This window comes from Homo sapiens, chromosome 7, assembly GCF_000001405.40.
Source record: "Homo sapiens chromosome 7, GRCh38.p14 Primary Assembly".
Lineage (NCBI taxonomy): Eukaryota > Metazoa > Chordata > Mammalia > Primates > Hominidae > Homo > Homo sapiens.
This window is the reverse complement of record NC_000007.14, coordinates 2,535,547-2,557,690: the sequence shown is the minus strand read 5'-3', so window position 1 is coordinate 2,557,690 and position 22,144 is coordinate 2,535,547. Positions and strand designations below refer to the sequence as shown.

Genomic DNA, 22,144 nt, shown 5'->3' with positions numbered 1-22,144 from the left:
TCTCTACTAAAAATACAAAAATTAGCCAGGGGTCGTGGGTGCCTGTAGTCTCAGCTACTCAGGAGGCTGAGACAGGAGAATTGCTTGAACCTGGGAGGTGGAGGTTGCAGTGAGCTGAGATCACACCACTGCACTCCAGCCTGGACATCAGAGCGAGACTCCACCTCAAAAAAAAAAAAAATTGTGGACCTGTGCAATACAATATTCAAATCTGGAGCCAGACTGCTTGGGTTCAAATCCAAACTGTGCCAATCCAGTAGCTGTAAGGCCTTATGAGTTAGCCTCTCTGTGCCTCATTTTCCTCATCTGATGGGCTGGTAGTGGTACTCTCCTACCGTTGCTGTAGAATCATACAAGTTTACAGTAAGTGAAGCACTTAGCACAGTGCTGTTGTTGAGTTTTCTTTACTCCACAATTACCTAACTGGGTGAATGTTAGTATCTCATTTCACAATGAGGAACCAAATTTCAGGGAAGATAACTGTGCATTTCAAACTTTTTCACACATGTAGTTCTAAGGATGTACGTGTGTGTGTGTGTGCAGGGGGCATGCAAGCGTCAGGGAAGTTGCTTTTCCAAGGTTACCCAGCACGGCTGGGCGCGTTGGCTCACGCTGGTAGTCCCAGCACTTTGGGAGGCCTAGGTGGGCGGATCACCTAAAGTCAGGAGTTCGAGACCAGCCTGGCCAACATGGTGAAACCCCGTCTCTACTAAAAATACAAAATTAGCTGGGCGTGGTGGCCCGCACCTGTAATCCCAGCTACTCGGGAGGCTGAGGCAGGAGAATCGCTTGAACCCAGGAGGTGGAGGTTGCAGTGAGTCAAGATTGAGCCATTGCACTCCAGTCTGGGCAAAAAGAGTGACACTCCGTCTCCATAAATAAATAAATAAAATAAAGGTGACCCAGCAAAGTCAGTGCTTTTAAATTTTTAAATTTTAATATCCATAGGAATTCTGCTTTGTTTCCTAAATCTGGTGTTGGCTCCCAACAATCTTGCTATAAAACAATGCTTTGGGAACATGAGCCTTGTCTATCCACTGGCTTTGAGACTCTCGAACACACAGTTAGTGTTTTGAACTCAATTTTTTGGACCTAGTTTTTCTGCCTGTTTGCTTTCTTAAAACACAGGGTCTTGCTCTGTTGCCCAGGCTGGAGTGCCGGGGCAGGATCATAGCTCACTGCAGCCTTGAACTTCTGGGCTCAAGCGATCCTCCCGCCTCAGCCTCTGGAGTAGCTGGGACCACAGGCGCATGCTACCAGGTCTGGCTGATTTTCTTTTTTTTTTTTTGAGACGGAGTCTCGCCCTGTAGCCCAGGCTGGAGTGCAGTGGCACCATCTTGGCTCACTGCAACTTCCGCCTCCCAGGTTCAAGAGATTCTCCTGCCTCAGTCTCCCGAGTACTTGGGATTACAGGCGCGCGCCTCCACGTCCGGCTAATTTTGATATCTTAGAGATACAAAAATTAGAGACGAGACGGGATTTCGCCATGTTGGCCAGGCTGGTCTCGAACTCCTGACCTCGTGATCCGCCCGCCTGGGCCTCCCAGAGCGCTGGGATTACAGGCGTGAGCCACCACGCCTGGCCTTTTTTTTTTTTTTTTTTTTTTTTTTTAAATTTTAAGAGATGGGGTCTCGCTTTGTTGCCTAGGCTGGTCTCAACTCCTGGCTTCAAGCAATCCTCCCAACTGCGCCTCCTAAAGGGCTGGAATTACAGGCATGAGCCACAGCGCGGCCGCGGAGGACTTAATTTGAGAACCTGAAGCTAAATGACCAAGGGCTTTGGTGCACGGATCAGGACGCTTCTCTCCGGCACATAGTTTTCTCGCTCCCGCCGGTGCAGACACTGGGCGCCCTGCAGGCGAAGCCCCGCCCCTCCGGACACAACCCCGCGCCTTCCTCAGAGATCCCCGCCCTCGAGACGCCCCGCCCACCCACCGGATGCTCGGCATGAACCACTAGGCGCCTGGCGGGGGTGATCTGTCGGAGCGACCGGCTTGGCGCCTGCCTGTCCCCAGCCCCTCTCAGCTTGAACTCCTTCCTTCAAGTCTGGGCCCTCGAGGCTTCCAGAGCGGCCTCCAGGGGTGCAGTCTCAGTTCCCCACGCCAGCCGTCTCCGTCCTCCGCCTCCTCCGGGCCTGGCAGGTGGCACTGTCCGGAGGCGGAGCCTTGGGCGAGGGGTGGTTGCGGCGGAGGACGCAACCGAGCGGTGAGGCGCGTGGGCCTTCGGGGGTCGAGGTCGTGGTAGTGGGGCGCGGGGAGGCCAAGACCCGGCCGAGGGGGGCGGGCGGGCCAGGGAGCAGCCCAGCCCGGGGCGTGCGCGACCTGGGCTCGCTTCCCAGCCCGACTGTGGCCGCCTGCTCTGGCGCCCCTTCTGGACTCTCGGGCCTGGCGCTCGCGGCCAAAACTGACTTCAAAGTGTGGGGAGGGTTCCTCTTCCCGGGACGCAGCCTTCCCGGGCATTGGCAGACGGTGCCCCGGTTAGACAGAGCCGCTGACCACCCCGCCCACCCCCGAGGCTGGACGCACGGATGCACACCTGGTCCTGGGAGAGACAGGCGCCCCTTCCTTTCCGCACCCCGCCGCCCCCCTCTCCCCCCCGCCGGCTTCAGATGCAGCCACCACTAATCCTGGGAGGGACAGACACACGGACAGGTGCCCCTTCCCCTCCTCACCCTCCTACTGGCTGCAGAACAGCAAATGCAGCCACCACTGACCCTGAGAGGGACAGACACACGGACAGGCGCCCCTTCCCCTCCGCACCCCCCTGCTGGCTTCAGGACGTCAAATGCAGCCACCACTTGACGCTGGGAGGGACAGAAACTTTCCAGCCCAGGCTGGCCCTGGGGCATGGGTAGACATCCCCTTGCACACATGGCTGACCCCGGAACTCAAAGATGCCCCTGACTCTGGCCCACCTGCAGCCTGGGCCAGCACCACGCTGTTGCCCCGACTGCACCAAAGACCAAGGGTGACAGACTTTGAGTTCCGGAGGCCTTGTGGTTTCAGCTAGACCCTCATCTGCCCCTTTCAGCCCCGCCACCAGCGCTCAGGGCCCCACCTAGACCAAAGCTTTGCATCCATCCCTGCAGTACAGACCTCTGGTCTGGGGATCATGGTTCTCCTGGTCTGAGATGAAAGTTCTGGGGCCCCTTCCCAGGCCTGAGCAGGCATGGTGGGCTGCTGTGACTAGAGCGAGCTGGGTCTGGAGTGGGCATTGAGGTTTGGCTCTCACATTGCCTTTGCAGGGCCTGCGGCCTCACCATGGACCCAGAATGCGCCCAGCTGCTCCCGGCTCTCTGTGCTGTTCTGGTAGATCCCAGGCAGCCGGTGGCAGATGACACCTGTTTGGAGAAGCTCCTGGACTGGTTTAAAACGGTCACTGAAGGAGGTAAGGAGGTGGTGCTGCTGTTTACTGCCTATCCAGAGACCAGACGCAGAGGCTGGGACAGGGAGCAGGGGCCAGATGGGGACTCCCCTGTCCTGGAGGAAGGGCAGAAACTGCCAATCAGATGTCTTTCCTTCACTTCCTAAGGATTATCTGTGGCAGACTGAGGGCAAGTTAAGATGAAGCCCGAGAGAATGATCTGGAGAGTTAGAGCCTGAAATTCAGCCAGTTGAGCCACGATCAGGGCACCCCAAGGTTCAGTTCTACAGAAGGCGTGAACAAACTTGTTTTATTGTTGTTCTCGTTGTATTTAGTGTGTTTAAGACATCAGATTTGTTTTCTTTCTGATTATGAAAGTAGGGGCCGGATGCAGTGGCTCATACCTGTAATCCCAGCACTTTGGGAGGCTGAGGCGAGCGGATTGCTTAAGTCCAGGAGTTCAAGACCAGCCTGGTCCAACATAGCGAGACGTCATCTCTAAAAAAAAAAAAAACAAAAATTAGCTGTGCCTGGTGGCGCACCTGTAGTCCCAGCTACTCTGGAGGCTGAGATGGGAGGATCCTTTGAGTCCGGGAGGTAGAGGTTGCAGTGAGCTATGATTGTGCCACTGCACCCTGACCTGGGTGATAGAGTGAGACCCTGTCTCAAAAAAAAAAAACAAAGTAATACATGTTCTTTAAAACATGAACAAAAGAGTAAAGAGGAAAATTAAACCATCAACGTTTTAATTTACTCCCAGCCTTTTCATAACACATAAAGCTGTATTTTTCTGGGGAAAAAAAAATGAGGTCATACTGTAAACACAATTTTGGTGTCTTGCTTTCTCTCTTGCTATCATAGTGAGTGTTTTCTCCACATAATATGTTAATGTTATTGACTACATGTTATTTGCTGTAGGAATAGACCATAATTAATTGAATCACTCCACTGTCAGATGTTTATATTTCTCATTTTTCATCATTTTAAGTAGTGTCATAGGTCAGGCGCGGTGACTCATGCTTGTAATCCCATCACTTTGGGAGGCCAAGGCGGGTAGGTCACTTGAAGTCAGGAGTTCGAAACCAGCCTGGCCAACATGGTGAGACCTCGTCTCTACTAAAAATAAAAAAATTAGCCGGGCATGGTGGCATGCGCCGTAATCCCAGCTACTTGGGAGACTGAGGGGGAGGATCGCTTGAACCCAGGAAGCGGAGGTTGCAGTGAGCCCAGATCGTGCCACTGCACTCCAGCGACAGAATGGACTCTGTCTCAAAAAAATAGTGTCAGTCGAGCGCGGTGGCTCAAGCCTGTAATCCCAGCACTTTGGGAGACCGAGGCAGGCAGATCACGAGGTCTGGAGATCAAGACCCTCCTGGCTAACATGGTGAAACCCCGTCTCTACTAAAAATACAAAAAAAAAAAAAATAGCCAGACGTGGTGGTGGGCGCCTGTAGTCCCAGTTACTTGGGAGGCTGGGCAGGAGAATGGCGTGAACACAGGAGGCAGAGCTTGCAGTGAGCCGAGATCACGCCACTGCACTGCAGCCTGGGCGACAGAGCGAGATTCCGTCTCAAAAAAAAAAAAATAGTGTCATAATGGCTTTCCTTTTACATAAATATTCTCGCATGTAAATGTTTATTCTCATGGTTGATAATTGCATTGGGATAGACTGCATGTTGTTAATTTCTGCTATTCTTTACTTCCTTTTTTTGGTTTACCGTGTTCTTTTATTCTTTTTATTTTTAAATTATATTGTATTTTTTTTTTTAAGGATGGGGTCTCACCGTATTGCCCAAGCTGTTTTCGATCTCCTGGGCTCAGGCAGTCACCTGCCTCTGCTTCCCAAAGTGCCTTTTACCCTCTTTGAGCTAAATATCTAGGTCTTCCTTGTTTTCTAATATATATATTTAAGGCCAGGCACGGTGGTTCATGCCTATAATCCCAGCACTTTGGGAGGCTGAGGCAGGCAGATCACTTGAGGTCAGGAGTTGGAGACCAGCCTGGCTAACATGGTGAAACCCCGTCTCTACTAAAAATACAAGAATTAGCCTGACATGGTGGTCCATGCCTGTAATCCCAGCTACTCGGGAGGCTGAAGCAGGAGAATCACTTGAACCTGGGAGGCAGAGGTTGCAGTGAGCCGAGATAACGCCATTGCACTCCAGCCAGGGCAATGGAGTGAGACTCTTGTCTCAAAAAAAAAAAAAAAAAAAAAAAAAAAATATATATATATATATATATATATATTTAAGACTATGCATTTCTCTAAAAGTATGACTTTAGCTACATCTTACACGTTTTACATTGCAGTACTTTGGTTTTAATTTAGTTCTGAGTATTTTATGCTTTTCATTATAATTTTTTTTTCACCCACAAGTTACTTAAAAGAGTATCCTTTAGTTTCAAAATATGGATTTTTCCAGTCTTTTTATTATTGATTTTTAATTTACTTTGTGGAGGTTAGAAAACATAACATATGTTTTGAATCTTTATAGCTGTTGAGACTTTTATTGAGACATAGGACCCAGGCGAGTTTTCTCAATGTTCTAGAGATTTCACTATATGATTTTGATGTTTTGGTATTTGAAGGTCTTCAACTGTGGCCTAGTTTGTAGTAGTCAGTTTTTCTTTTTCTTTTTTTTTTTTTTTGAGCCAGGGTTTTTGCGCGTCACCCAGGATGGAGTGCAATGGCGTGAACACGGCTCACTGCAGCCTTGACCTCCTGGGCAGTCCGCCTGCCTCATTCTCTTGAGTTCCTGGGATCAAGGTGTGTACCAGGCCCAGCTATTTTTTTTTTTCCCATAGAGATGAGGTCTCACCATCTTGTCCAGGCCAGCTTGGAACTCCTGGGCTCAAGCAGTCTTCCCGCCTGGGCTTCCCAAAGTGCTGGGATTACAGGAGCGAGCCACCATGCCTGGCCTGTATTTAAATTTTAAGAAGTATTTTTCAGTAGCTTTATTGAGATATAATTTGCATACCATGCCATTCTCCCATTTAAGGTGTACCAGATCCTTTTACAGTTTGTAAGCATGAGATATATATATATCTATATATAGATATATATATAGATATAGATTTTTTTTTTTTTGAGACCAAGTCTTGCTCTGTTGCCCAGGCTGGGGTGCAATGGCACAATCTTGGCTCACTGCAACCTCCGCCTCCTGGGTTTCAAACGATTCTCCTGCCTCAGCCTCCTGAGTACCTGCGATTAAAGGTGCATGCCACCATGCCCGGCCAATTTTTGTATTTTTAGTAGAGGTGGGATTTCATCATGTTGGCCAGGCTGGTCTCGAACTCCTGACCTCAGGTGATCCCTCCACCTTGGCCTCCCAAAGTGCTGGGGTTACAGTGGAGAGCCACTGCACCCAACCTAAGCATGATAATTGAGTGTTCAGGCGCATGTGTGAGATGTGGCACCATGGAACCCTGGTATGATGTCGGTACGTGACCCGTCTGACATGAGAAATGGACAAAATAAATAAATAAATGGTACCAATTCAACAGTTCTTAGTAAATTTACAGGGCTCTGAAATCATCAGCACAATCTAATTTTGTTCCCCCTAAAGAAACCGAGTCTGGGTTCACAGTGAGTCCCTGTTTCCTCCTCCCTCCCAGCCTCTGTCATTTCTCCTGCATTGTACTTGATGGAAAGAGTGTAGTTTCCACACTCGTTCATTAGTTCAGACCTGCTATGTTCTTGCTAATTTGTTTGCTTGTTTCTGAGAGGTGTGTAAAAAGCTTACACCAAGATCATGGATTCATGATTTTTCTTTGAGATGCATCCTTTTTTTTTTTTTCGCTTTACATATTATTTTTTTCTTTTTCTTTTCTTTCTTTTTTTTTTTTTGTTTTTTTTTTTTTGAGATGGAGTCTTGCTCTATTGCCCAGGCTGGAGTGCAGTGGCATGATCTCGGTTCACTGCAGCCTCGACTTCTTGGGCTCAGATGATTCTCTCACCTCAGCCTCCCTAATAGCTGGGACCACAGGAGCCCGCCACCACGCCCGGCTAAGTTTTTGTATTTTTTGTAGTGACGGGGTTTCACTATGTAGCCCAGGCTGGTCTCAAACTCCTGGGCTCAAGCAGTCTGCCCGCCTTGGCCTCTCAAATCGCTGCAATTACAGGTGTGAGGCACTGTGCCTGGCATTTTTTTTTTCTTTTTTTTTTGGAGACAGGGTCTCACTCTGTCACTCAGGCTAGAGTGCAGTGGTGTGATCACGGCTCACTGTAGCCTCAACTTCCTGGGCTCAAGTGATCCTCCCACCCCAGCCTCCTGGATGGCTGGGACTACAGGGACACACCACCACACCCAGCTAATTTTTTGTATTTTTTTGCGGAGACGGGGTTTCACCACGTTGCCCAGGCTGCTTTACACGTTTTGAAGTGAGGTTAGGTATACATAGATGTAGGAATGTTGTGTCTTTCTGGAATTTATCTCCGTGATCAGTTAACTTACTTCTGCATGAATACTGCTTTTTGCTTTACAGCCCATTTTGTTTGCTATTTCTGTTGCTACATCAGCTTCTTTAAAGTTAGAATTTGCCTACTGTGTCTTTTCTCTCCTGCTCCCAGCCTTTCCTGTCGTTGCATTTTATTGCTTTTAGAAACACCACATTGCTTGTTTTTAGTGTTTAATTTAATCTCAGCAACTCTTTCTTTTAACAGATAAGTTTGATCTCTTTAATTTGTTGAGGCGACTGTTAGATTTGAATTCTTTTGTATTTTTTAATTTCCTGTGCCTTACCTTTGTGCCTTTATCCTCCTTTTCTGCCCTCCATCAGATTGATAAAGCTTTTTTTTTTCTTTTAAATCTTTCCTCTTCTGGTTTTGAAGTTATACATTCTATTTATGTTCTTCTTTTTAGACAAGTTCTTGTGCTGTTGTCCAGGACAGTGGTGTAATCACGGCTCACTGCAGCCTTGACCTCCTGGGCTCAGGTGATCTTCCCATCTCAGCTTCCAGTGTAGCTGGGACTATAGATGCGCGCCACCATGCCCAGCGAATTTTTATAGAGAGGGGATCTTCCTGTGTTGCCCAAGCTGGTCTTAAAACTCCTGGGCTCAGGCAATCTGCCCACCTCGGCCTCTCAAGATGCTGGGACCACAGGCTTATTTGTGTTCTTCAGTGGCTACCCTTATATTTTTAACATGAGAACCGGATTTTTTAAAAAGTCTGAAGTTAATTAGACTTTCCATTCTCTATCCAGGCAACCGAAGGACCTCAGAGCACTTGAACTTCAGGCCATCACAACCTTCTATTATTGTCGTTAGTATTTTAATTCTGTTTTGTTTCAAAACCCTTCAACAATGATTTTTTAGATTTTGAACTCAGTGGCATTGTTTTTTGTTTGTTTGTTTGTTTGTTTTTGAGACAGAGTCTTGCCCTGTCACCAGGCTGGAGTGCAGTGGTGCGATCTCGGCTCACCGCAACCTCCACCTCCCGAGTTCAAGCAGTTCTCCTGCCTCAGCCTCCCAAATAGCTGGGACCACAGGCGCCCGCCACCATGCCTGGCTAATTTTTTATATTTTAGTAGAGACAGGGTTTCATTCACCATGTTTGCCAGGATGGTCTCAATCTCCTGACCTCGTGATCTGCCTGCCTTGGCCTTCAAAAGTGCTGGGATTACAGGCGTGAGCCACCACGCCCCGCCTTTTTTTTTTTTAGAGAGACAGGGTCTCCCTCTGTCGCCCAGGCTGGAGTACAGTGGTGCAGTGATAGCTTGCTGCAGCCTCGAACTCCTGGGCTCAAGCAATCCTCCCGTCTCAGCCTCCTGAGTAGCTGGGACTGCAGATGTGTGCCACCATGCCGGGCTAATTTTTTTTTATTTTTTGTAGAGACAGGGTCTTGCTATGTTGTTCTCCTGCCTTGGCCTCCCAAAGTGCTGGGACTACAGGTATGAGCACCTCACCCAGCCTGCAGTGCTGATTCAGGTGGACATAGTGCTTTTTGGGTCCTGGCCTGGTTCTCCTCCTCTGCATGCTCCTCACTCTCCTTACTGAACCACATTCTTTCCACAGGGGCTTCTCACTGGGAAACTCTCCCAACCTTTGCCTCAAAATGTCTTTTTCCCCCACTGGTGCTTTTGAGCGATAGCATAGCTGGTTATAGAAATACAGGATGCCAGTTCTGGAGAGGAATGTTTGTTCCATTGTACCTGCTTGCATGGAGCACTGTCTAAGGAAAAGTACCCATTTGGAAGGTGAAAATGCTCTTCCACTTTTTTTTTTTTTTTTTTTTGGAATGGAGTCTCGCTCTGTCGCCCAGGGCTGGAGTGTGCCGTGTGCAATGACGTGGTCTTGGCTCACTGCAGCCTCTGCCTCCCAGGTTCAAGCGATTCTCCTGCCTCAGCCTTCCAATTAGCTGGGACTACAGGCATGAGCCACCACACCTGGCTAATTTTTTGTATTTTTAGTAGAGATGGGACTTCGCCATGTTGGCCAGGCTGGTCTCGAACTCCTGAGCTCAAGTGACCACCCGCCTTGGCCTCCTAACGTGTTGGGATTACAGGCGTGAGCCACCACGCCCAGCCTGGTCTTTCACTTTAATTTGCATTTCTTTTTCACTATCAGTGAGACAGAACATTTTTTCAGCATTTTTGGCCATTCACCTGTTGTGAAAGGTGACAGTGTTCCGCCTTTCACCTGTTGTTAAGGTGTTGGCTTTCTAGCCCTTACTGAATTAAAATTATGAGTCATTTGCCGTATTTGTTGCAGATATTTTTTTCCCAGTTGGATCCCTAAATCTAACACCCTGCAAGAAAAGGGTCTGGGAATTGCTAGGAGAAGAGCGGTCATCCAGGGGGACACCTGGTGCCGTACCCCTGGTGACCCCTGGGCTGGGCCATCCCCACAGAGTCCAGTGTCGTGCTGCTGCAGGAGCACCCCTGCCTGGTGGAGCTGCTGTCCCATGTGCTGAAAGTCCAGGACCTGAGTTCTGGGGTCCTCTCCTTCTCACTGCGCCTGGCAGGAACCTTCGCAGCCCAGGAAAACTGCTTCCAGTATCTTCAGGTGAGCCTGGGGCCTCCCACCTGAGTGTCCCGTGGAGAGGTGGGCAGGCTTTTCCTCCCGCAGCCAGGTGGGGCATTTGTAGCCATCACCATCCCAAGTCCCAGCGGCCTGCCCCGACCCTGTGTCCTCACTAGAACTGCATGTTTTTTACCCCCGACTGTAGCCCCCTTTGAAAAATTCGCCCGGAGTGATGCTGGGGCTAAGGAGTTGAGGTTTTTTGGAATAAGATGACTGGCACGGGCTCCCAGCTCTGACCAGCTGTCTGAGCTTGCCCACGGCCGCAAGCCTCCATCTCTTCCTGGGACGGAGACAGGAGTCGCAGCTGCGCCGTGGCCTCCGTCTCTTCCTGGGACGGAGACAGGAGTCGTAGCTGCCCCGTGGCCCCCGTCTCTTCCTGGGACGGAGACAGGAGTCGTAGCTGCGCCGTGGGGTTGTCGTGAGGACCAAATGAGACCGCACATCCTGCACCTCCAGCGACCCAGCCTACAAATGAATGAATAACTAATGAGAATGTGAATGACTAATGAGAATGTCTTTTTTTTAAAAAATTAATTTTATTTATTTTTATTTTATTTTATTATTATTTTTCGAGACAGAGTCTTGCTCTGTCACCCAGGCTGGAGTGCAATGGTTCGAACTCAGCTAACTGCAGTCTCCACCTCCCAGGTTCAAGCGATTCTCCTGCCTCAGCCTCCCGAGTATCTGGGACTACAGGCACCTGCCACCACGCCCAGCTAATTTTTGTAGTTTTAGTAGAGACAGGATTTCACCATTTTGGCCAGGCTGATCACGAACTCCTTGACCTCAAGTGATCCGTCTGCCTCGGCCTCCCAAAATGCTAGGATTACAGGCGTGAGCCACCATACCCGGCCTTTTTTTGTTTTGTTTTTTAGAGACAGAGTCCTGCTCTGTCGTCCAGGCTGGAGTGCAGTGGCAGCTCACTGCAGCCTTGACCTCCTGGGCTCAAGTGACCCTCCCCATTCAGCTTCCCGAGTAGCTGGGTCCACAGGTGCATGAACCACACCTGGCTAACTTTGTTATCTTTGGTAGAGATGGGGTCTCACTATGTTGCCCAGGCTGGTCTCAAACTCCTGGTCTCAAGCGATCATCCTGCCTCGGCCTCCCAAAGTGTTGGGATACAGTCGTGAGCCACTGCTCCCAGCCAAGAATTTCTACATAGCAAGGCATGAGAGCTCGAGAGCCTCCCAGAGCTGTGTCTTCCAGCTTCAAGTGCCTCAGACAGGCACCGCTGAGTCTGTCGGGATGCGTGGTGTGAGCTTCAGGGCCCTTGCCCGTCTACCACGACGGCTTCTCTTGGTGCCTCACAGGCCCTCGCCAGGTTGTGCGAAGGCACATCCAGTACCGTTAGCTTGCCGTTCACGATGCCCCCCAGTTAAGCAGCTGCAGGCTCCCTAGCAGCCCACCCAGGCACCATCTTGCTGCAGGACAGACTTTCCAAGGTGTCCTAGGGTGCTGCCGTACAGTGAATCCGGGGGCCCTTGTCTGTCAGCAGCTGGTATGAAAGTACCCTCCAGGCTGGGCACGGTGGCTCATGCCTATAATCCCAGCACTTTGGGAGGCTGAGGCAGGCGGATCACCTGAGGTCAGGAGTTCGAGACCAGGCTAACCAACATGGTAAAGCCCTGTCTCTACTAAAAATGAAAAAATTAGCTGGGTGTGGTGGTGGGCACCTGTAATGCCAGCTACTCAGGAGGCTGAGACAGGAAAATAGCTTGAGCCCAGGAGGCAGAGGTTGCAGTGAGCCGAGATGTGCCACTGCACTCCAGCCTAGGCAACAGAGTGGGACTGTCTCAAAAAAAAAAAAAAGAAGAAGAAAGTGTCCTCCAGAAGTATCTCCACCAGCCCTGGAAAACTGAAAACCCATCTCTGCTTTGCTCCACATCCCTGGAAACCTACCAGGTCCCCTCACCTCTTTTTTTTTTTTTTTTTTTTTTTTTTTGAGATGGAGTCTCGCTGTGTCACCCAGGCTGGTGTGCAGTGGTGCGATCTTGGCTCACTGCAACCTTCGCCTCCCGGGTTCAAGCAATTCTCCTGCCTCAGCCTTCTTAGTAGCTGGGATTACAGGTGCATGCCACCACACCCAGCAAATTTTTGTATTTCTAGTAGAGATGGGGTTTCACCATGTTGGTCAGGCTGGTCTCGAACTCCTGACCTCGTGATCTGCCCTCCTCGGCCTCCCAAAGTGCTGGGATTACAGGCTTCAGCCACTGCGCCTGGCCACCCTCACTTCTTTTTTTGCTTCCCAGCAGGGGGAGTTACTACCAGGGCTCTTTGGGGAGCCAGGACCCCTCGGCCGAGCAACCTGGGCCGTCCCCACCGTGCGCAGCGGCTGGATCCAGGGCCTGCGCTCCCTGGCACAGCACCCCAGCGCCCTGCGCTTCCTGGCCGACCATGGTGAGTGCGCCCACACCCCACCCCATTCCTCATCCTGCCTGTGTGATCCCAGGGAATTCACTGCACCTTGCTGAATCTGAGTGTCTGGTCTGTGCGATGTCTCAGGGTTGTTGCAAAGACTGCACTGTGACAGTACGGCTGTCCAGTGTTCTCTGGTTGGCAGGTCAGGCCCTAGGAGCCAGGACGGCTTTCTCAGCCACTTACAGATCAGCCGTGAGGACTCAGTCTTTGAAACTATTTGGGAGCCAGGCGTGGTGATGCGTGGCTATAGTCCCAGCTACTCGGGAGGCTGAAGCAAGAGGATCACTTGAGCCCAGGGGTTCGAGGCTACAGTGAGCAGTGGTTGAGCCACTGCACTCCAACTTAGGCAACAGAGCAAGACCCCGTCTCAAAAAAACAAGAAACGAGGCTGGGCACGGTGGCTCACGCCTGTAATCTCAGCACTTTGGGAGGCCGAGGCGGGTGGATCACCTGAGGTCAGGAGTTCAAGACCAGCCTGGCCAACATGGTGAAACCCTGTCTCTACGAGAATACAAAAATTAGCCGGGCATGATGGCGGGTGCCTGTAATCCCAGCTACTTGGGAGGCTGAGGTGGCAGAATGGCTTGAACCTGGGAGGTGGAAGTTGCAGTGAACTGAGATCGCACCATTGTACTCCACCCTGGGCAACAGAACAAGACTCTGTCTCAAAAAAAAAAAAAAAAAAAACAACAAGAAGGAACGAATTGGGAAGCATCACAAGCTGTGTGTGTTTAACGCTCGGGGGGAGGAGGTGCTTGTCTCCAGGGAGCTTCAGTTCCTGTTCTTTTTTGCTTTTGAGTGGAGAGGCATTTGGGGGCATCTTGGGGGGCCCTCTGCTATTTGTATCTTCCCTGAGGCCCTCTGCCTCCCCCAGCTCTATTCTGGCTCACCCCCTTTTCCCTCTCTTCCCCCATCCCCTACCCAGGTGCGGTCGACACCATCTTCTCCCTGCAGGGAGACTCCAGCCTGTTTGTGGCCTCGGCGGCCAGTCAGCTCCTGGTGCACGTCCTGGCTTTGTCCATGCGAGGTGGAGCCGAGGGGCAGCCCTGCCTGCCGGGGGGTGACTGGCCCGCGTGTGCCCAGAAGATCATGGATCACGTTGAAGAGTCCTTGTGCTCCGCGGCCACCCCCAAGGTCACTCAGGCCCTGAACGTCCTGACCACGACCTTCGGGCGCTGCCAGAGCCCCTGGACGGAAGCCCTGTGGGTGCGGCTGAGTCCCCGCGTGGCCTGTCTGCTGGAGAGAGACCCCATCCCCGCCGCACACTCGTTCGTGGACCTGCTTCTCTGTGTGGCTCGGTCAGGGCCCCGGGACGCAGCTGGGGGGCCTGGGTGGGCAACTGTTTTCCTCGGATAACGCCCAGGGATGTCCCACTGGCAGCCGGAGACTCTCTGAGGACATGGCCTGCAGTGAAGCGGCACCGGGGTGACCCTGGAACCCTCATGGGGAAAGGCCTGTCTTGGGCTGGGCGCCTCCAGTGCCGGAGCCATGGCAGTCTCAGCCAGGCCTCGAATGGGGTTTTGAGGGTGGGGGAGTAATTTTTCTCTCTGGGGTCTCCCTGCAGTTCTCCCGTGTTCAGTTCTTCCGACGGCAGCCTGTGGGAGACAGTGGCGCGGGCTCTGAGCTGCCTGGGTCCCACCCACATGGGACCCCTGGCTTTGGGGATCCTGAAGCTCGAGCACTGGTATGGTCTGGGGTGCATTTCATTCCGAGGCGGGTGCTGGGAGCTGGGGCAGGCAGGGAGGTTGAGAGCGCAGCCCTCATGGCAGGGGAGTTCCGGACACCAGGGACAGTCAGGCGGCCGTGCGGGGTGTGACTGGGTGGTGCGTGGGTTGCGCGCGGCAGCTTCTGAAGGTTCTTTAGCAACAGAATAATTGTTTCAGACCAAAGCTCTGCGAGATCCCCAGAGGTGAGAAGGATGCGGGAGCTGCTCTGCTCAGAGCAGGGTGGTCCTGCCGACGCCCTGCGCTCCGCTGCCCTCCCACCTGTCCCCCACCGCAGCTTTGGTTGGGGGTTTCGGAGCTCCCCAGCACACACACCATGCGGGTGGGGGGCCTGGGGGCGGTGCAACGGCAGAGCCTGGGGTCAGGACAGGTGGGAAGGCCGTGGATGGCCTGCCAGTGTTCCAGGTGGGCTCACAATAGGGGTGGAAGTGACCTCAGGACCTGCTGCCCACAGGGCCCAGGGGTACCATGAGGGTCCAGCTCTGAGCTCCGGGGTCTCCGAATGTTTAGGAGAGAGTAGACCGGGGGAGGATGGAGGAACAGGCCCGGCCCTGCAGGAATGCATTGTGGGGACACTGCCTCCACCTAGGCCCAGACGTGAGGGCAGGTCCCTCCCACAGAGTGGACGCTGTACACACCTGGGGGCACCCCATCCCTGTCCCCCTGAGCGGGCACTGCCCCTCTCTCTGGGTGCATGGCCAGGCCCTCCTGGAGGCCCCTCAGTATCTGCTCCTAAGGACATCAGGAGTGTCAGGCCCATCTCCTTGGTCAGGCCTGTCCTCCCCGCCACTCTGTCCCATGGCATCCCCTGGCCAGTGGCCTGCAGAGAATGTTTCTCGGGGGGTGTCCCAACCCCCTGGCTGATTTGCCCCAGGCTTGCTGGGGACATTAGGAGCACAGCCAACTTGTCTCGCAGCCAGGGTCGCGGCACTCACCTCGCGTTTGTCTCCAGTCCACAGGCACTGAGGACCCAGGCCTTCCAGGTCCTTCTCCAGCCCCTGGCCTGTGTCCTGAAGGCCACGGTTCAGGCCCCCGGACCCCCAGGTGTGCTGCTTAGAAAGGGCTGGGAGGGCAGAACCTGGGTCCCTGCGGCTGGGGGAAGGGAGATGGATGAGAGTAGCTGGCTCGCCACCCCCGCCCCACTTTAATCACACCCAGGCCTCCCTCCAAGAGCAAAGGGGACCGGGGACATGGCCATCTCCCCTGGTGAGCTGCTGCTCTGCACCTAGGTCCTGGCCTGTGCTGTGGGTGGTGACCGTGGGGTGGCTGGTGACCGTGGGGAGGCTGAAGTGCTCTCTAAGGGAGCTCTTCCTGGCTTGGCCCCCAGGCTTGCTGGACGGGACGGCAGACGATGCCACGACGGTGGACACACTCCTGGCCTCCAAGTCGTCCTGCGCCGGCCTCCTGTGCCGCACCCTGGCTCACCTGGAGGAGCTGCAGCCGCTGGTAGGTGCGGCCCGGTCCTCATGCAGCCCAGCAGCATCCACGCTGGCGGTGGGACCGCAACGTAGGCTGACGCCCCCCACCCCTTGCTGCCCCAGCACCCTTGCATCCACGCCAGCAGTGGGACCACAACCTTGGCTGATGTCCCCCGCCCCACATGCCTCGAAGTCCCAGCACCCCTGCATCCACGCCGGCAGTGGGACCGCAACCTTGGCTGACGGCCCTCTTCCTCGCAGCCCCAGCGCCCTTCACCGTGGCCCCAGGCGTCTCTACTGGGGGCTACAGTGACTGTCCTGCGGCTCTGTGACGGCTCGGCTGCCCCTGCCTCCAGTGTGGGGGGCCACCTCTGTGGGACCCTGGCGGGCTGCGTCCGGGTCCAGCGAGCAGCCCTCGACTTCCTGGGGACGCTGTCACAGGGGACAGGTGAGTGTGTTCTGTACGGCTTTGGCGTGGGGCTATCCCTGTGCCCCCACTCTCCTTTCTGCTCGGAGGCACCCGGGAACTGCTGTCCCTCTCTGTTTCTTCTCTGGGGTGGGGGCTGAGGGGTGCAGGGGCCGTGCAGGAGGTTTCAGCTGGCGGATGAGGCCTTGTTCTGCTCCTTCCCAGAGTTGATGGGGAGGGTCCTAGGGTGGGGGTGGGGGTGGTTTATCCACTCACCTCTGTCTCAGGCCCCCAGGAGCTGGTGACGCAGGCGCTTGCTGTCCTCCTGGAGTGCCTCGAGAGCCCCGGCTCCAGCCCCACGGTACGGTGGTGGGGATAGAGAGCGAGGAGAGGAGGGAGGCAGAGGCAGTGGGACCCACCCCTGACTCCACCCCGTCCCGTGCAGGCCTCTGCGGATGGGGCCTTCACACAGGGCCACAGAGCTGCTGCTCAGAGAGCTTCACGATGCAGGTGGCTGCATGGGGCGGGCCCAGGGCCTCTTGTTGGTGAAGATACATCAGCACGCAGGGGTGTGTGGGGCCGTGGGGAGCAGGGGCACTGGTCAGGCGGCCTGCGGGGAATTCTGGACAAGGGAAATGAGGTGGCACCAAGACGGCCCTGGGCGTGGGCTTTGGGTTCTCCTAAGCGCCATTTGTGAATGTGCCTACTCCACAGCCCCTCACGGAGCTGGGCCCTGGCAGGTACAGACCTTGTGCCACCTGCCGCTGAGCAGACAGCAGACAACTTTGGAGGAAGGGCCCAGGGCTTCTTGGGATCCTAAGGAAAAGGTGCCCTGCGTAATTGGTCATGTTTTGATGTAGAAATCCCGTTGCCTGGGTTGTGGGTCTTCTGGTGAGGGCTGCCACCACCTCCTCCTGCTCACAGTCTGGGAAGCCGGTTCTGCAGCATATTCTGCCCTATTAAAATCAGCCCAGGAGGGGCGTGGGGCTCACAGCTGTGATTACTGTGCGTTGGGGGGCCGAGGTGGGGGGATCAATGGAGCCCAGGACTTTTGAGGCCAGCCTGGGCAACATAGCAAGATCCCATCTCTACAAAAAAATAGAAAAATTAGCCCCAGGAGTATAGCTCAGGGGTAGAGCATTTGACTGCAAAAATTAGCCAGGCGTGGTGATGTGTGCCTCTAGCCCCAGCTACTCATGAGGCTGAGGCAGGAGGACTGTTTGAGCCTGGGAGGTGGAGGCTGCAGTGAACTGTGATTGCAGTCCAGCCTGGATGACACATTGAGACCCTGTCTCTAAAAAAGAAGGAAGCCCAGCGTTCCCTTCTCTCTCCACTTCCTGTCCCCATTGCTGTCCCTGGAGTACGGGCAGCACAGGTGAAGGCGAGGGGGACAGACAGACAGCCTGCCCCTCCGTCTCCCGTGGCCCTGCAGCCCACCCTATCTGCTCCAGGTTCTGAAGAAGGCCTTCCAGGCCACGCTCAGGTGGCTCCTGAGCTCACCCAAGACCCCCGGCTGCTCTGATCTCGGCCCCCTCATCCCGCAGTTCCTCAGAGGTAACGCAGCCCCTTGCAGGGGTGAACGGAGCTGGAGTCGCAGGGGTGGAGGCAGCAGGGGCTGGGTGGAATGGCTCAGCTGGCTCTGAGGGCAGGGTGAGCCTGGCCCCAAGGTCACCCTGACCTGTCCCTTCCCACCCTAGAGCTGTTCCCTGTGCTGCAGAAACGCCTGTGCCACCCCTGCTGGGAGGTGAGGGACTCCGCCCTCGAGTTCCTGACCCAGCTGAGCAGGCACTGGGGAGGTGAGTGCTGGCAGGTGGAGGGGCTGCCTTCCCCGCCTGTGGGGGGCTCACTGAGCCAGGGTGCACCAGCAGCCTCTTGCTGGCTCTAGAAACTTGGGCCATGTCGGCTGCCCACAAGGGGATGGAGGCAGAGGCCGAGGCGACAAGGCTCGGCCCTCAGTCACAGCTGCATGTGGCCGTTTCGACCCCCAGGACAGGCTGACTTCAGATGCGCACTCTTGGCTTCAGAGGTGCCTCAGCTGGCCCTGCAGCTCCTCCAGGACCCTGAGAGTTATGTCCGAGCGAGTGCAGTGACCGCCATGGGGCAGCTGTCCAGCCAGGGCCTGCACGCCCCCACCAGCCCTGAGCATGCAGAGGCCCGGCAGGTAGGAGGTGGCAGGTTCCTCAGCCAGCAACTCCCGCCTGGCCATCGTGTGTGCTCGTTTGCTTGCGGGTGGTCGAGCGGCCAGCATGCAGCGTGGGAGCAGCTGCTGCTGTGGGCAGCGCCTGCAGCAGTGACTGCCGAGGCCCTGGGGCTGTGCTGGGTGTGGGACCTGTGCGCTTCGCCTTCTGTCTCCCCAGCACCCCTCCACTTAGACATGGTTACCTCCATTTGACAGATGGGTAAACTGAGGATTGGAGGGCCGTGTGCTCACTGCGCAGCATGGGAAGGTGTCAGAGCGGGCTGTGGCCCTAGACTGCATGTCCGGGGCCAGCCCCCATCATGTACCGGAGTCCTGTTGCGGGAGCCTCGCTCCTGCCACCCCACCAACCATCCGCACTTGCTCCCTGTCCCCCAGAGCCTGTTCCTGGAGCTCCTGCACATCCTCTCCGTAGACTCGGAGGGCTTCCCACGGCGGGCGGTCATGCAAGTCTTCACTGAGTGGCTGCGGGACGGCCACGCCGACGCGGCCCAGGACACGGAGCAGTTCGTGGCCACTGTGCTGCAGGCGGCGAGCCGAGACCTGGACTGGGAGGTCCGCGCCCAGGGCCTGGAGCTGGCCCTCGTGTTCCTGGGCCAGACTTTGGGGCCGCCGCGTACCCACTGCCCCTATGCCGTGGCCCTACCCGAGGTGGCCCCAGCCCAGCCACTCACCGAGGCACTGAGGGCTCTCTGCCACGTGGGGCTCTTTGACTTCGCCTTTTGTGCCTTGTTTGACTGCGACCGCCCTGTGGCGCAGAAGTCTTGTGACCTCCTTCTCTTCCTGAGGGACAAGATTGCTTCCTACAGCAGCCTGCGGGAGGCCAGGGGCAGCCCCAACACTGCCTCCGCAGAGGCCACCCTGCCGAGGTGGCGGGCGGGTGAGCAGGCCCAGCCCCCAGGGGACCAGGAGCCTGAGGCTGTGCTGGCCATGCTCAGGTCCCTAGACCTGGAGGGCCTGCGGAGCACGCTGGCCGAGAGCAGCGACCACGTGGAAAAGAGTCCCCAGTCCCTCCTGCAGGACATGCTGGCCACGGGAGGCTTCCTGCAGGGGGACGAGGCCGACTGCTACTGAGCAGAACCAGAGTCTGCCACTGGGGCTCAGGACCAAGGGAGGCAGCACCATGTCCTTCTGTGGGACACTGCCAGCCCCAGGGCTCCAGCCCAGCCCGGTGGATCCTCTGGGGAAGCCAGGACCAGGAGAGAAGCAAGGTCAAGAAATCCCACAGTTTGATGTATTAAAGAAATGACTTATTTCTACTCAAAATAAATGGCATTGAAGTCTTTCTTTAACCCTTTTTGAGTTAATTTAATAATAATGATCTGAGACAAGGGTCCAGTGTCATTCATTCGCATGTGGATATCCAGTTTTCCCAGCACTGTTTATTTTTTATCTATCTGTCTGTCTGTCTGTTTTTTGTGATGGAGTTTCGCTCTTGTTGCCCAAGCTGGAGTGCAATGGCACGATCTCGGCTCACTGCAACCTCTGCCTCCTGGGTTCAAGTGATTCTCCTGCCTCAGCCTCCCGAGTAGCTGGGATTACAGGCGCACGCCACCATGCCTGGCTAATTTTTTTGTATTTTTAGTAGAAACGGAGTTTCACCATGTTAGCCAGGCTGGTCTCGAACTCCTGACCTCAGGTGATTGACCCACCTCAGCCTCCCAAAGTGCTGTGATTACAGGCGTGAGCCACTCCGCCCGGCCAATTTATTTTGGTTAAAATTATTCCTGGGGGCTGGGCGCAGTGGCTCACGCCTGTAATTCCAACACTTCGGGAGGCCGAGGTAGGAGGATTGTTTAAGGCCAGGAGTTTGAGAATAGCCTGGACAACATAGCAAGACCCCATCTCTACACATTTTTTTTTGTTCAGAGATGGAGTCTCAGTCTTGTTGCCCAGGCTGGAGTGCAGTGGTGTGATCTCGGCTCACTGCAACCTCCGCCTCCTGGGTTCAAGCAATTCTGCCTCAGCCTCCCCAGTAGCTGGGATTACAGGCGCCCACCATCATGCCTGGCTAATTTTTGTATTTTTAGTAGAGACAGAATCTCACCAGTTTGGCCAGGCTGGTCTCAAACTCCTAACCTCAGGTGATCCACCTGCCGTATCTCTTTTGTTTTTAATTAGCTGGGCATGGTGGTATGCACCTGAAGTCCCAGCTACTTGGGAGGCTGAGGTGGGAGGATTGCTTGAGCCCAGGAGTTCGAGGCTGCAGTGAGCCGTGATCACACCACCGCACTCCAGCCTGGGTGACAGAGAGAGACCCTATGTCAAAACAACGCATTGAGTGCTTGGAGTTCTCTGCATTCTTGGCAGCACCTCAAATCTGTGCTAGCACCTCAAATCTGTGCTAGAGAAGACCTGTAGCCCTAACTTCTGAAGAACTTTTTCTTTTTGCTTCTCTTAGCACCAAGTGTCTTTCGTGTGGAGGGAGCAGGGCTAATTCCGTTTCATTCTTACCCTAAGAGTGTAGACCTTTAGGTTTTCAGCTTAAGGTGGGAAGGGTTTTCTATAATGCTCCCCATTTTGGGCAGGACTGGCCCTTGACTTCTGTCCCCCTGACCCCTCAAGGCCACAGAATGAGAACCCAAGTTTGCTGGTTTTGGCAAATGCCCTCCAACAAAAGGGCACCTCCCGGGTGGCACAGCCGTGGGCTGGTGCGCCCCACCAGGGTGCAGCAGTGACATCAGCCCCGCCTCGGGGCACATGTCCCTTCCTGGTGACAGCAGGCTAGGTGCCTGGACCAGCCGTTTCCCTGAAGACGATGAAACACGCTGGGTGAAATATCCAAAGGCCAGGAACACTGAACAGCTGACAAGATAGCAGGTAATTAAATGCCAGGCCTCGTGCTGGAGGAAAACTGGACTCAGATACAAGGCCCTCCCACAGGGATCTGGAGAGCCTGGCTCTCAGCTCTGGCCTGGGGGAACTCAGAGAGGGAGGGGCTCTGCGGATCAGCTGCCCCTAGGCAGTAACACTGAACCGCAGTACCCAGTGAAAAGAGACTGCAGGGCCCAGCGTGGTGGCTCACGCCTGTAATCTCAGCACTTTGGGAGGCCGAGGTGGGCGGATCTCTCGAGCTCAGGAGTTCAAGACCAGCCTGGCTAACACGGTGAGACCCCGTCCACTAAAAATACAAAAATTAGCTAGGCATGGTGGTGGGCACCTGTAATCACAGCTACTCAGGAGGCTGAGGCAGGAGAATCACTTGAATCCGGGAGGCAAAGGTTGCAGTGAGCCAAAATCACACCACTGCACTCTATCCTGGGCAACAGAGTGAGACTCTGTCTCAAAAAAAAAAAAAAAGGAGCGAGCCGGGGCGCAGTGGCTCACGCCTGTAATCCCAGCATTTTGAGAGGCCGAGGCGGGTGGATCACTTGAGGTCAGGAGTTCAGGACCAGCCTGGCCAACATGGTGAGACCTTGTCTACTAAAAATACAAAAATTAGCTGGGCATGGTGGCAGGTGCCTGTCATCCCAGCTACTCAGGAGGCTGAGGTAGGAGAATCGCTTGAACCCGGGAGGCAGAGGTTGCAGTGAGCCAAGATTGTGCCACTGCACTCCAGCCTGGGTGACAGAATGAGACTCTGTCTCAAAAAACAA

General features: G+C 54.5%; 1 protein-coding gene and 1 pseudogene across 21 annotated transcripts, besides 6 other annotated features; both read left to right on the top strand.

Moving 5' to 3' along the window:
- Positions 1,583-2,260: an enhancer, noted in NCBI's record as "H3K27ac-H3K4me1 hESC enhancer chr7:2595065-2595742 (GRCh37/hg19 assembly coordinates)". NCBI's record gives its function as "activates a minimal SCP1, AML or CMV promoter by ChIP-STARR-seq in naive H9 embryonic stem cells {active_cell/tissue: H9 hESC(naive)}" and the evidence as "EXISTENCE:reporter gene assay evidence [ECO:0000049][PMID:30033119]".
- Positions 1,583-2,412: a biological region, named in NCBI's record as "H3K27ac-H3K4me1 hESC enhancer GRCh37_chr7:2595065-2595742".
- BRAT1 (BRCA1 associated ATM activator 1) lies at positions 2,167-19,881 on the top strand. 21 transcript variants are annotated; one of them, NR_146879.2, is made up of 15 exons: positions 2,167-2,209; positions 3,244-3,386; positions 10,213-10,367; positions 12,635-12,782; positions 13,729-14,101; positions 14,368-14,487; positions 15,480-15,571; positions 15,855-15,973; positions 16,207-16,393; positions 16,639-16,712; positions 16,797-16,920; positions 17,803-17,905; positions 18,049-18,147; positions 18,340-18,512; positions 18,927-19,881. NR_146879.2 is itself a non-coding variant. In XM_011515179.3 (15 exons), exons 2-15 carry the CDS (start codon positions 3,260-3,262, stop codon positions 19,620-19,622), a joined length of 2,727 nt encoding a protein of 908 aa, XP_011513481.1. In that variant the 5' UTR covers positions 2,167-2,204; positions 3,244-3,259; the 3' UTR covers positions 19,623-19,881. The 21 variants fall into 21 exon arrangements, 20 of the variants coding, with proteins under 20 accessions (XP_011513481.1, XP_011513483.1, XP_011513479.1 ...); XM_011515179.3 differs by having other exon boundaries at positions 2,167-2,204; positions 12,638-12,782; positions 16,797-16,861; positions 17,784-17,905; positions 18,747-19,881; XM_011515181.3 differs by having other exon boundaries at positions 2,167-2,204; positions 16,797-16,861; positions 17,784-17,905.
- Positions 2,173-2,412: a silencer, noted in NCBI's record as "silent region_17879". NCBI's record gives its function as "represses an Ori minimal core promoter by ATAC-STARR-seq in GM12878 lymphoblastoid cells {active_cell/tissue: GM12878}" and the evidence as "EXISTENCE:reporter gene assay evidence [ECO:0000049][PMID:35858748]".
- LOC124901849 (uncharacterized) lies at positions 6,726-6,821 on the top strand (annotated as a pseudogene).
- Positions 10,312-10,478: a silencer, noted in NCBI's record as "fragment chr7:2586847-2587013 (GRCh37/hg19 assembly coordinates)". NCBI's record gives its function as "represses an EF-1alpha promoter that drives an FKBP-Casp9 reporter gene in an ReSE screen in HepG2 liver carcinoma cells {active_cell/tissue: HepG2}" and the evidence as "EXISTENCE:reporter gene assay evidence [ECO:0000049][PMID:32094911]".
- Positions 20,689-21,188: an enhancer, noted in NCBI's record as "H3K4me1 hESC enhancer chr7:2576137-2576636 (GRCh37/hg19 assembly coordinates)". NCBI's record gives its function as "activates a minimal SCP1, AML or CMV promoter by ChIP-STARR-seq in naive H9 embryonic stem cells {active_cell/tissue: H9 hESC(naive)}" and the evidence as "EXISTENCE:reporter gene assay evidence [ECO:0000049][PMID:30033119]".
- Positions 21,189-21,690: an enhancer, noted in NCBI's record as "H3K4me1 hESC enhancer chr7:2575635-2576136 (GRCh37/hg19 assembly coordinates)". NCBI's record gives its function as "activates a minimal SCP1, AML or CMV promoter by ChIP-STARR-seq in naive H9 embryonic stem cells {active_cell/tissue: H9 hESC(naive)}" and the evidence as "EXISTENCE:reporter gene assay evidence [ECO:0000049][PMID:30033119]".

What these genes read in the sequence shown, in the direction of transcription:
- BRAT1 (XM_011515177.3), top strand. Translation starts at nt 3,260, where the DNA reads ATGGACCCAGAATGCGCCCAGCTGCTCCCGGCTCTCTGTGCTGTTCTG. An exon ending in ATCCTGAAGCTCGAGCACTG is followed by an intron (nt 14,488 to 15,479) that starts GTATGGTCTGGG and finishes GTTTGTCTCCAG; the next exon opens with TCCACAGGCACTGAGGACCC. An exon ending in AGCATGCAGAGGCCCGGCAG is followed by an intron (nt 18,513 to 18,746) that starts GTAGGAGGTGGC and finishes TCCATTTGACAG; the next exon opens with ATGGGTAAACTGAGGATTGG.